Source organism: Homo sapiens, chromosome 13 (assembly GCF_000001405.40).
Source record: "Homo sapiens chromosome 13, GRCh38.p14 Primary Assembly".
Classification (NCBI taxonomy): domain Eukaryota; kingdom Metazoa; phylum Chordata; class Mammalia; order Primates; family Hominidae; genus Homo; species Homo sapiens.
This window is the reverse complement of record NC_000013.11, coordinates 99899564-99911637: the sequence shown is the minus strand read 5'-3', so window position 1 is coordinate 99911637 and position 12074 is coordinate 99899564. Positions and strand designations below refer to the sequence as shown.

At 44.3% G+C, this 12074-nt stretch overlaps 1 protein-coding gene and 1 long non-coding RNA gene across 4 annotated transcripts in view, besides 2 other annotated features; one reads left to right on the top strand and one right to left on the bottom strand.

The window, feature by feature from the left end:
* The window catches only part of CLYBL-AS3 (CLYBL antisense RNA 3), a 216296-nt gene that overhangs the window by 45528 nt on the left and 158694 nt on the right, over positions 1-12074 (top strand). The window lies entirely within an intron of this gene.
* The window catches only part of CLYBL (citramalyl-CoA lyase), a 302755-nt gene continuing 292874 nt past the window's right edge, over positions 2194-12074 (bottom strand). The window contains exons 9-10 of one of the 3 annotated variants that reach the window (NR_104592.2): positions 6233-6368; positions 2194-3583 (exon numbers count right to left, since the gene is read on the bottom strand). The gene's annotated coding sequence lies outside the window, so the exon portion shown is untranslated. Of the gene's footprint in view, positions 6369-12074 lie in introns of all 3 variants that reach the window. The other 2 variants (NM_001393361.1, NM_001393360.1) reach the window with 2 other exon arrangements.
* Positions 6690-7190: an enhancer, noted in NCBI's record as "H3K4me1 hESC enhancer chr13:100556702-100557202 (GRCh37/hg19 assembly coordinates)". NCBI's record gives its function as "activates a minimal SCP1, AML or CMV promoter by ChIP-STARR-seq in primed H9 embryonic stem cells {active_cell/tissue: H9 hESC(primed)}" and the evidence as "EXISTENCE:reporter gene assay evidence [ECO:0000049][PMID:30033119]".
* Positions 10500-11076: an enhancer, noted in NCBI's record as "H3K4me1 hESC enhancer chr13:100552816-100553392 (GRCh37/hg19 assembly coordinates)". NCBI's record gives its function as "activates a minimal SCP1, AML or CMV promoter by ChIP-STARR-seq in naive H9 embryonic stem cells {active_cell/tissue: H9 hESC(naive)}" and the evidence as "EXISTENCE:reporter gene assay evidence [ECO:0000049][PMID:30033119]".

The window sequence follows — 12074 nt, the reverse complement described above, 5'->3', positions numbered from 1 at the left end:
CCGAGAGATGCCTGCGCTGTGCTTGAGCATTGCCTGGGTTTGAAGAGTGCAGGGCCAATTCCTCTGGAACAGGGAGCAAGAGGATGTGGTGGTGGGGGAGAGTAGGCATACACCTGGTGACAGCAGGCCAAGACAGAGTGAGAGGTCAGAGGGAGGCAGAGTCAGAGGGAGGAGGCAAGTTCTAGGGAAGAGGCAGAATCAGAGGGAGGAGGCTGAATCAGAGGGAGAAACAGGGAGGAGAAAGAGTCAGAGGGGAGAAACAAGTTGGAAGGAGGAGGTGGAGTCAGAGAGAGGAGACAGAGCCAGAGGGAGGAGGCTGAATTGAAGGTCAGAGACAGAGTCAGAGGGAGGAGGCTGAATTAGAGGTCAGAGACAGAGTCAGAAGTCACAGGTAGAGTCAGAGGGAGGAGACTAAATTAGAGGTTGGAGAGAGAGTCAGAGGTCAAAGGCAGAGTCAGAGGGAGGAGACTGAATTAGAGGTTGGAGGCAGAATCAGAGGGAGGAGGCTGATTAGAGGTCGGAGACAGAGTCAGAGGGAGGAGATTGAATTAGAGGTTGGAGACAGAGTCAGAGGGAGGAGGCTGAATTAGTAGTCAGAGGCAGAGTCCGAGGGAGGAGGCCAAGTCAAAGCTTCTCAGGAACAACTTTCCAGTTGGAGGGGGGACAGGAACTTATTACTGAGTTGTCCACACAGAGGGCCAGCTGGGAGGAGGTAATGAGAGTGGCTCCAGAATAAAGCATCTCAGGTAAATGGGCCCTGCATTAGAAGAGCTGGAGAAGGCCAGTGGAGAGACACTGTCCACCTCATCTTGCCCCTAGTCCATGCCAGAGGGCACCCTCTCCACTTATGGGAGGAAAATGCCCACTCCAATGCCCACTCCCATCATTTCCTAAGGTTCCCTCCCTCCCCACCCCAGGTTCCCTCCCTCCCGCCCAAGGTTCCCTCCCTCCCGCCCAAGGTTCCCTCCCTTCCCAGCCCCACCAGCTTTCACTGCTTCCCAACTGTCTGAGCCCCTATGATCTGGCTTTATCTACAGCCAATGCTGTGTGTGAGTTGTGGGCAAGAGTGGCTTCACCAGGAGCATCCAGCCCTCTCTTGGCCATGGCTCCTGTTTATGCCGGGACCCCAGGGAGGAAGTCTTGAGGGCCTTGTTCCTGACTGGTGGGAAGCCAGGCTGGATTATTGATCATGGCTCTACCATTTCTGGAGAGCCCATCCCAGCTGGTCCGTGTACAAACATTATTGCACTTAATCCTTGCAGCAATCCCCACAGGGAGGTCTTATTTACCCAGGAGGAATCTGAGGCTCAGAAAGGTTAAGCAGCTTGCTTGGCTAAGGTCACAGAGTTAGATAGTGGCTGCAGGACTGTACTCAAAGCCTATGCTCTTTCTTCTGCAAACTGAAGAATCTGTAAGGAAAGACCAGGTAGAACCTACTCTATTGCTCTTCTCCCTAAAGGTAGAACCTACTCTATTGCTGTTCTCTCGGGAGTGGGGCCCAGAAGGGCATTTGGGAAGCTGGGCATCAGTCATGGGAGATAGGCAGTTGCAACGTGGCTCCTGGCAGCAGGGAGCTTGGAAGGCAGCCCAGTGTGTCCGATGAAGAAAACAACCCTGAGGCTGAACATACAGATAAGGTTTAGTTCAGAGACACCAGCAAGTCCTGATTAGTAGTCACTACTTGGGACCCTGTTTGTAAAAGGATTCTGAGTCTGAATCTAGACACAGTTAGAGAGGATACTGAGCCTGAATCTAGACATAGTTGGAAAGGATTCTGAGCCTGAATCTAGACATAGTTGGAAAGGATTCTGAGCCTGAATCTAGACATAGTTGGAAAGGATTCTGAGCCTGAATCTAGATGCAGTTGGAAAGGATACTGAGCCTGAATCTAGATGCAGTTGGAAAGGATACTGAGGGTAATTAGCAATGTCTGCCCTTGACCCAGAGGGGAGTAGCAGTTGTTTAGAATGTATTTACAATCCATGTATAGGTATTTTTCAGCATTGACAGTTTTCTTCTTCTGACAAATACTCATTATTTTCCACAAACAGATAGCAATCTAACTGTTCCTTCTCTTATTAACCTGAGTCCACAGCACTGGAGTGGTGTTGGGTCATGAGTCCTATCACAGGAGAAAAATCAGTCATTTACAAAGGCAAAGCCAAACAGAGAGTTCTTGATGAGAGTTTAAAGTTCAGAGGACACAGGAAATATTTATTTGTTTCATGTATTTTACATTTGTTACTAGTATGTGCTGGGCACTATCCTGTTTTACAAACATTCACTCACTAACAACCCTATGAGATGAGTTCCAGTAATATCACCATTTTACAGAATGAGACAACTGAAGCCCAGAGAGGTGAAGTAACATGTCCAAGGTAACACAGCTTTGTGTATTCGAGCAGTCTAATAACAGAGTCTTCGTGATTAAATGACACAGTGCAGCCTCTCTGCCCTGTACATATTTCTGTCTTGCTTTTCCATATGGTGTTGTGCCTTCTTTGCTTCATGTTTGTTTTCCAGACTAGACTGAACTTTTGAAGGGTTTTCTGTTCCGCTATGTCTAGGTACCTGACATAAAGGAAGAGCTGGACATGACTACTGAATGTTAGTGCTATGATTTTAGGAATTAATCACATTGAATTTGAGTTGTTTTTTGTTTGTGTTGGCTCACTAGCATGGGCTTGTGGAATGGGACTCTGAGTTACATATTTCTATATCCTCAGCCTCTAACACAATATAAAGGAGAACACCTCCCATTTGTTTATTTATTCATTAACTCACTGATTCATTCATTCAGTGAAAATGTATTAGGGGCAGGCACCATGCTAGTTGCCAGGAACGAGCAAAGTAGACCAACTTTCTGCCTCTGTGGTTAAATCCAACCTCACAAGAGTATGATATAGAAAAATGATGTTGATATTCTTTAAATTGGACACACTTGTCTGTTCTACAAACAGTACTACTAGATTACTTTGCATTGCAACATATCAGTTCCCTCCCTACCACACTGTGTGGTGAAATAACATTGCAAACAGCTATTTTATTCCTATTTTACCTTACCTAAGGGCATTGGTTACCCATATTGGTCAGATCTAATATTCAAAGCTCAGGAAAAGCTTTTTGGTGCAGAGCTGATGGAAGAATGATCAGGCTTCCACACTGCGAGGCGGGGCTGCTTCATTCCTTTTGTTATATGAAAAGCTTCAAGCATTATTAAGTGATGACAGAGTACACTTGGCTTCTGGTCTTTCTTTGAAGGCTGGCCTGTAGCATGCTGCTTGGAAGCAGGAACGATTCCACAAATGGTCAGGGAGCTACCCTCCTCCAAACCTCCCTTCACACCAGGTCCAGGTGTGTAAACAGAGCAGATGGGCCTCTGCCCAGAGGGAAGGGAGTTCTGAGAGCACAGAGCTGGAGCCAAGCATGACACCTTTTGGGATTTCTGTTTCTGCCGCTTCTCTACACCAAGGCTGGACCTCAAACATTCTCTCTACTCCTTTGCAAGTTCTCTGTAGCTATTGAGGATGTCAGTTGCATCAGATTCCTCCTTGTAGAGAAGGAAAAAGCTCTTTCCAAGAACCTGCAGGGAACAGGTGACTGGAGCTCAGGTTACTTTTTTGCCAATCCGAGTGCTGTTCACCACTCAGCACAGCCTGACCGTCCTCCCCGGGATGAGAGGTGCCCATGGGGTGCAGTCAGGAGGAGTCCCTCGCAAGCCCATGCCCAAAGTCTTGGCACCTGGATGTTTCAAATCATATGAAACCACGTGCTGCGGCTCTCTATTCAGGGTCTTTTTAATTGTTTTTGAGATGGAGTCTTGCTATGCTGGCCAGGCTGGCCTCAAACTCCTGAGCTCAAACTGATCCTCCCACCTCAGTCTCCTGAGTAGCTGGGACTACAAGCAAGCACTACCATGCCCAGCTTTATTTATTTATTTTTTAGAGATAGAGGGGTCATGCTACGTTGCCAGGCTGGTTTTGAACTCTTGGCCTCAGGCAATCCTCCTGGTTCAGCCTCCTGAGTCTCTGGGATTACAGGTGTGACCCATCATGCCCAATTAAAAAAAATTGATGTATAGTTAGTGAAAAATTTGGAAATACAAAAATGTAAAAAGAAGAAAAAATAAAAATCACCAGTAGTCTTATCACCCAAACACTACAATTGCTAACATTTTATTGTTTTTTTTTTCCAGTGTTGTGATTTCTTTTTAACATGGTTATAATCACAGATAATAATTATAGGAACCAACACTTGTCCAGTGCCTACAGTGTGCCAGGCCACTGTGCTTTGTATGTATTAACTCATTTCAGGCTCAAAAGAAACCTTAGGAGGTAGGTAGTATTATTACCCCCATTTCACAGATAATAAGACTGAGGCACAGGGATGTTAGGATCTTGCTCAAGGTTACTTAGCTAAGAAGCCTAAGAAGCAGGAGAGCCAGGCAGTTCAGCTCCAGACTCGCATTTGCAGCTTGGTATGCATCAGAACTTGACTTTATAGGAAAAGCACTTTCTTATCACCTTCAGAAGCACCAGTTTTAGTGGCTGTCTAATATTCCATCAAGTAAATGTCTCCCGATTGACTTAGCCATACCTCTGTAATTTACATGATGCAACTGTGAATAAAGTAGTATTTGCCAATGAGGCTTTTTTGATATTCTGGATTACAGAATTTCTTTAGGATAAATTCCCAGATGTAGACGCAAAGGGTCAAAGAAAACAGTAAGTCTGCAGATGCACGAAGCCAAGTATTTTCCAAGCCACCCGCTGTGGGGCTGCCCATCCTTGGAGGGATTAATTCTTTCTTAATCCTCAAGAAAGGATTAATGCATTTGTTAGGCAGAAGATGTTTTAATGTTTTAAAATGCTCTCCAGCCCAAATCTGAGTCATCTTGTAATAATAAGAACTCAAGGCCGGGCACGGTGGCTCACGCCTGTAAGCCCAGCACTTTGGGAGGCTGAGGAGGGTGGATCACCTGAGGTCAGGAGCTCGAGACCAGCCTGGCCAACATGGAGAAACCCCATTTCTACTAAAAATACAAAAATTAGCTGGGTGTGGTGGCAGGCACCTGTAATCCCAGCTACTCAGGAGGCTGAGACAGGAGAATTGCTTGAACCCGGGAGGCGGAGGTGGTATTGAGCCGAGATCGCGCCACTGGGTGACCGAGCAAGACTTTGTCTCAAAAAAGAAAAAAAAAAGAAAACTCAAAAAAGCTCTGGGGGTCCTTCAGTTCCCATTCAAATTCTGATTTTCACTCACACTTATTTTCCTCATATCTGATTATTCTTATGTAAAACAACAATAAAATGAAATCTTAACAGACATTTTTCTGATTTGAAAACTTTTAAATGTCCATTTTAGAAAATAGGGAAACTCCAAAATCCCCTGTAGTGACATTTACTTATTTTATTGTTTATTTTATTTCTTGATGATCACAGTGACAGGTGCTCATTGTAGTCCATTTGGAATGTACAGGAAAGTATAAAAGGAACAAAGTGAAATAACCAAATGGAGGCAAACTTCTCAGCATTTTCCCTTTTGCCATTAAACATGTTGAATCTGGCAGAGTGTCATGGCTCATGCCTGTAATCCTAGCACTTTGGGAGGCTGAGGCAGGTGGATCACTTGAGCCCAGGAGTTCAAGAACAGACTGGGCAACATGGTGAGACCCCGTTTCTACAAAAAATACAAAAATCATCTGGGAGTGGTGGCACAGGCCTGTAGTTCCTGCTACTTGGGTGGGGTCCTGGCTGAGGTGGGAGGATGGCTTGAGCAGGGGAGGTCGAGGCTGCAGTGAGCCGAGATCGTGCAGCTGTACTCCAGTCTGGGCGACAGACAGAGACCCTGTCTCAAAAACAACCACAACCACCACCACAACAACAACAAAACATGTTTGATCTAAAAAAAAAAAAGCAAAAACAACAACCAAAAAACACTTTTTTATGGCTGCATGAAAATTTCCATCTAAGGTACTTTTAGATTTCTTCCCCCTTTTCTTTCTTTTTTTGGTCTCACACCTGGAGCTCGGTTCTTGGCTGACTTGCAAGTTTGCTTTGAAGGATAATGAAGAATAATTGGAACAGAATGGAGGTGGGGGAGGGTGGACAGAATAAGAAAGGGCTCCACTGCCCCCAGCTTTCACTTCCTAGAACAGGGCCAGAAGGGCCCTAGGGCGGCTTCAAGACACCCTTTTGGCCAGTCACTAACACAGTGATGTCATGTCACTCACCACAGGCACGTAACAGAAGCTCAGTAAATGTGTGCTGGAGGGCAGATCAATGGACGGATTTGACACAGGTCGCCATGTATGAACTTTACCCTCTTGTTGTAACTCTACAGTAATGGTCATTGCAGCTCAGCATTCCCTTTATTAAAAAAAAAGAAAAACAGGTATGCATCTGTGATCCTAGGTCCTGGCCTTATTAAGATCCTAGAGGAGTGACCAACCAGAGGTCTTTTAGCCCAAGGCAGATAGTTGTGATCAAAGCTTTCTGGATCTCTCCCAGGAGGTCCTCGGCTGGAGAGAATGGCCTAGGACCAGACCCTCCAGTGTGAAGCACCCCCTTTCCCTCTGAGACCTGTGAGCAGGCCAGCCCTGTGGGGAAAGAGGCAAAGGAGGCAGATGTGGGGGAGCAGAAAAGGTGGGGGAGGTGTACTGTTCTGGGGGAGGCAGGGTGGGAAAAGCTGTCTCTGCAAAGATGGCTCAAAGCCCGCTGAGCTCCCAGTTGAGCTTCTTACAAGAGGGAGGCTGCCCTTTCAGGGCCTCTTTTGCTCTCTTGAGACCCCCAGGGAGGGCAGCTACGCTCACCTCTGCCTTGCGGGGCTGTGGGACTCACTTGGCTGAGCTGTTACTTGACGTCTTTGCCTTCATTTTCATAAAAACTGTACAGTTTTGAGCTGACACTGGGAAAAATACTGCTTTTTACTTATATGCTTTAAGTATATATGAGAAAAATTAAATTATGGAATATTAGTTTGAAGCACGACGCTGCCATTTTAGAGGCCACACATTTCTTTTAGGTGACATTTATAGGACAGCCATCCATACACGTGTGGCTGATTTCGAAAATTATAGCATGAGACATTTCAACATGATGGCTATTTCAGCCTCTTCTGCAATCATTCAGGGATGTGAATGTGTATAAAATTAGAAATTAGGTCATGTGTGAGGAATCAATCAACTCTTCCTTATCAAATCAATTCATGAGACCCAAACATAATTATGGAAACTGGTTTGAACTTTGCTTTTTAAAGTTTAGCATAGCCAGGAATTCCCAAATCATGTTACAATGTTGTCCCTTTGACTGCAAATGGAAGGGGCCACATTTCGCCTTTCGAGGTCTGGGAGTTCTGTCTGGCTGTTTCTCTTTTTAATCTGCAAAATGAGGGGTTAGACTAGAGTCTGATTGAATTAGTTTGGGGTGGGGCCCAGATATTAGTATTTACTAAAAGCCCAAGAAATAATTCTAATATCAGCCAAGATCCAGTCCATTGGCTTAGGTGACCTCTAAGTCCTTCTTTGGCAACAAAATGCTGTGCTTTTTATAATTAAAAAGGTGTGGGGTTTTTTTGTTTTTGTTTTTTTTTTTAAGAGAGGGGTCTCACTCTGTCATCCAGGCTGGAGTGCAGTGGCACGATCACAGCTCACTGCAGCCTTGAACTCTTGGGCTCAAGTGCTCCTCCCGCATCAGCCTCCTGAGTAGCTGGGACCACAGATGTGTGCCACCATGCCAGCCTAATTTTCTTAAATTTAATTTTATTTTGTAGAGATGGGGTCTTGCTTTGCTGCTCAGACTGTAATTTAAATTTTTAAACAAAAGTAAGTAAGGAAATCAGATTCATTTTGCAGATAATGCTACTTAAAAACATCTTCTTCCTAAATTCAGATTTCATGGAAGTCCACAAATTAAACTTGCTTCATACGGGACGCGAACCTCACGGAGTATTTTGGGCAGATCTTACGAATTTAGAAAAGTTGTGTTTGCTTCACATTTTTATATTCCTAAGTGAGTTTTAAGCCAGTTATCCAAAACAAATTTATTTTTCACCTTTAAGAGTCAAGATGTCAAAGTTTTTAATTTCCAGGTGGAAATCATGGAAATCGAAAGGATCAAAAAGAAATGTTTACGGATAGAGAGAGATAAGAAATAGAGATACTGACTTTTTGCTATTTGCTAAGGATGACAATTCCCTGTGTGCATGTGTGTGTGCGTGTGCGAGTGTGTGAGTGTATGTGTGTGTCAGTGTGCGTGCGTGTGTGTGTGCCAGTGTGTTTGCAATGAGCCTCTGCTGGGATGGGGGAGGAGTAGCCAGTGCTGGGGGAGCACCTTCAAGGAACTTTAAAGACAGATGGTGGCAGACTGCGGCCATGGGGCCAGCAGGCTCCTGATTTCATGGCAATGTCTGCCTAGCAACCCTCCTTATTGAAGACCATGTCTCCAGAACTAGCCAGGTTTTAAAATGTAGTTCAACTTTGGAGATGGTTTTTATTTTCTTGTTATGAAATCGAGGCTCCTGCACTAAGAACTCAAATGACTGCATGCCTATGTCTGCTCATGAAGACGGTCTGTGGCAAAGTGATGCTATGGTTGAAACCCGTCCATTGATAGGTCACAGGAAATAGAAAGATCCAAGTTCAGTATTTGGATTAGAAATACAAGTCAAAGACGGAACACTGCCATCAGAAATGTGCGATCCTAAAAGATATTTATTTGAAAGTTTTGAAAAAAGTAAAGCTCATGCCCTGGGGCTTCTGGGAGTATGTACAAAATACAATAATTAAATTAAGTCCAGCAGTTAAAGTTCCTCATAAAAAGAAAAAGCTGGAGTGCTTCCCAATGGGGAATGCTTCACTTAAAAGGAAGGTTTTACTCTGTGGCCTGAAGGTCAACAAACTGGGACTCTGTGGGAATGGATAACATTTCTTAAAGGGGTTCTTAGGTCTTCGTTTTGTTGAAAGAAAATAAAAGTAAAAAGGGACAAGTTTTGAAAATTCAAAAAATGAAGGTGCAGTCCTAAAATCATCACAATTTTTATAAACGCTACACTGGAGGCTATGAAAACATGTTCTCTTTTCTGAGCACTAATCTAACACATATGCCCTTTGAGAAGGAAGAGAAAAAAGGCCAGTGGCGCCCTCTGAACAAACCAGTTTAAAATATGCTGATTTTCATAGGCAGTGTGCATGCAAATTCATAGCCCATTCATTGGCTATTTATTTTGAAAACATTTACCTTAAGTATTCTCATATATTTGACAATTTAAAATTCCTTATATGACACAAAGACTGATCATATTTTAAAAACGCTTTTATGAGGCAAAATTATGAAAATTATCATCTTGGGTCACATTCTTATAACCTAAAATGGAATGTTTCTCATAATTTGAAAATATCTGTTTTTATACTAATCATTTGTTGTTACCTTTCTGGTAATATCTCCCCCAAAAGGAATAAGGTTAAGAATAGGATAGAAATTACATTTTATGAGTTTATACTGTTATAAAAGGTACACTTTATGAGTTTGTATGTACATGTAAACTTGATGTGAAGTTAAACTTTCTCATTTCTAAGCATCACTCTAGGCTCTCAAATGAGTTTCAATCACCAATTTGCAGATCATCATCTTCCTTATGACTTACATAAAAGCTGAATGTTGGCTTTGCATTAAGACAGCATGATCAAAGGCAGGATATTGGGAATAGCAGCTTTGACTTTGGGAGGCCAAGGTGGGTGGATCACTTGAGGTCAGGAATTCGAGACCAGCCTGGCCAACATGATGAAACCCCGTCTCTACTAAAAATACAAAAATTAGCCAGGCATGGTGGCGTGTGCTTGTAATCCGAGGTACTGTGGAGGCTGAGGCAGGAGAATCACTTAAACCCGGGAGGTGGAGGTTGCAGTGAGCTGAAATTGCGCCACTGGACTCCAGCCTGGGTGACAGAGCAAGACTCCATCTCAAACAAACAAACAAACAAACAAAAAAAAAAAACAAAAAAATCCAAAAAACCAAAAACAAAGAAATAGCAACTTTGGCAGCAAAATTTAATTTACTAACTAATTAAGCAGCCTCACTGACATTTCTACTTTGATTCCCAAAGTACAGTATTATCTGTCTGTGCACTCGGGGTCTCTCTCGGGGTCTCTCTGGTAAAATGGACACCGTAAATGTCCTGTGCCAAGCCCACAGTCGAGGAAGGATTGCGGAATGTCCTGCAAGCAGCTCATGGCCTAAGACATTCGATTTACCTCCAAAACACACACAGAATTAGAAAAACATAGTTTGCCCGTGTTGTTGTTTTCTTTCCTACATTTGTTATTTTTGCTTTTGGAATTGTAAGGGGAGGAAGGAAGAGAAGGTAAAATTACAAGGCAGAAGGAAGAATCTAGCAGGACTAGATGGAAGGAGAGATGATGCAAAGAACGGTGCCCATGGGGGATGGAGCTTGGGAGTGAGGCCCGCGGCCAAGAGGTGGTGTCGAGGGAGCCAGCTCAGCATGGCGCTGCAGCCTCTGTCCTTGGCGCTGGCATCCACATCATGCCTGCCCCGGGCCTTCTTCCCTCAGACAACCCAAGACATTTTCCAGCCATTCAGACCAGCCCCCAGCAGAAAATCCTGCAAAATGTGCAGGGGCATGTTGAGTCTGGGAGGCAGGTGCTCAGGGACCTACAGGGGCCGGGGGACATCAAGGTGTATTGCGAGGTGGCACTGGCCTGGTGGCAGAGCTTCCTGGCTGTGTTTTTGATGACTGGTTGTTTGAATTGTGATGAATTCGAGTATCTTTGCTGGGGTCAGGCACTGTCTCTGAGGGAGGCAGTTGCTGAAAAGGAGGCTTTGTTATTTTTCTCATTGTTTCAAAACACACATTTGGAGCTTGCTCACCCTGCAGCACTGATGAACTGGGGAACCTGATGTGGAAGCACGAATCTGAGGAGCTCGAGGGAGGAGGAAGCTGTGTGGTTTAGTGGAGAGAATTTGGAGAGTTTAGTGGTAGTCTTGGTTTTGCCAGCAGTGTGACCTTGAGCAAGTCCCCTAGCAGGTCCAATAGTTGCACAACTCCAGAAGGTGCCCCTAGCATTGCATTTTTTCTATGTGGATGGTGCCCCCTTCAGCCAGGAGTTGGTACTGCATAATCCTCCAGCCCTTAAGGGTCTGCAAGATCAGGGGACGGGACAAAATGATCAGATAAGAGTTTACAGTCAGAACATCTCCAGCACCGAGAGAAACTTCCATAGGCCAGCAGTGGAGCTAGGAGACTGTTAATAACAACGACAACAACAAAAGAGCAATGCAGCTCCCCAAAATGCACGTGGCTGTGGGAGTGTGCCGCCCTTTCTGGTATGTCCCAGAATTTGAACACGTTTTCCTGTGAGAGCATATACTTCATCTAGTAATGAAAGTAAATATGAAGGCCAGGCCAGGTGGCTCATGTGTGTAATCCCAGCACTTTGGGAGGCCGAGGCGGGTGGATCACCTGAGGTTAGGAGCTCGAGTCCAGCCTGGCCAACATGGTGAAACCCCATCTCTACTAAAAATACAAAAATTAGCAGGTTGTTGTGGTGTGCCCCTGTAATCCCAGCTACTTAGGAGGCTGAGGCAGGAGAATTGCTTGAACCCAGGAGGCAGAGGTTGCAGTGAGCCAATATCTCACCACTACACTCCAGCATGGGTGAAGGAGTGAGACCCTGTCTCAAAAAAAATAAATAAATAAAAATAAAAATAAAGGAGAAAATGGGGTTCGCTGCGTAGAAATGCATATTCCAACCAGCTCTGCGCAGTGGGATTCCCAAACTCTACTGTGCGCAGGTTTGGCCCCTGGGTGGAAGTCACTTGATCTTTACTGAATGCCTACTACGTGCCAAGCATGATGCTAGGTGCTTTAAAAATACTGTATTTATTTATTAGTTTTTCCTCTTTATTTTACATTCATTCTTTTAAAAAAATTATTTTAAAAAATTATGGTAAAATATAAGAAACAAGATTTACAATTTTAAGCACTGTGGCATTAAGTACATTCGTATCGTTGTGCCACCATAGCCCTCCTCTTCTCCAGAACTTTTTTCATCTTGCAAA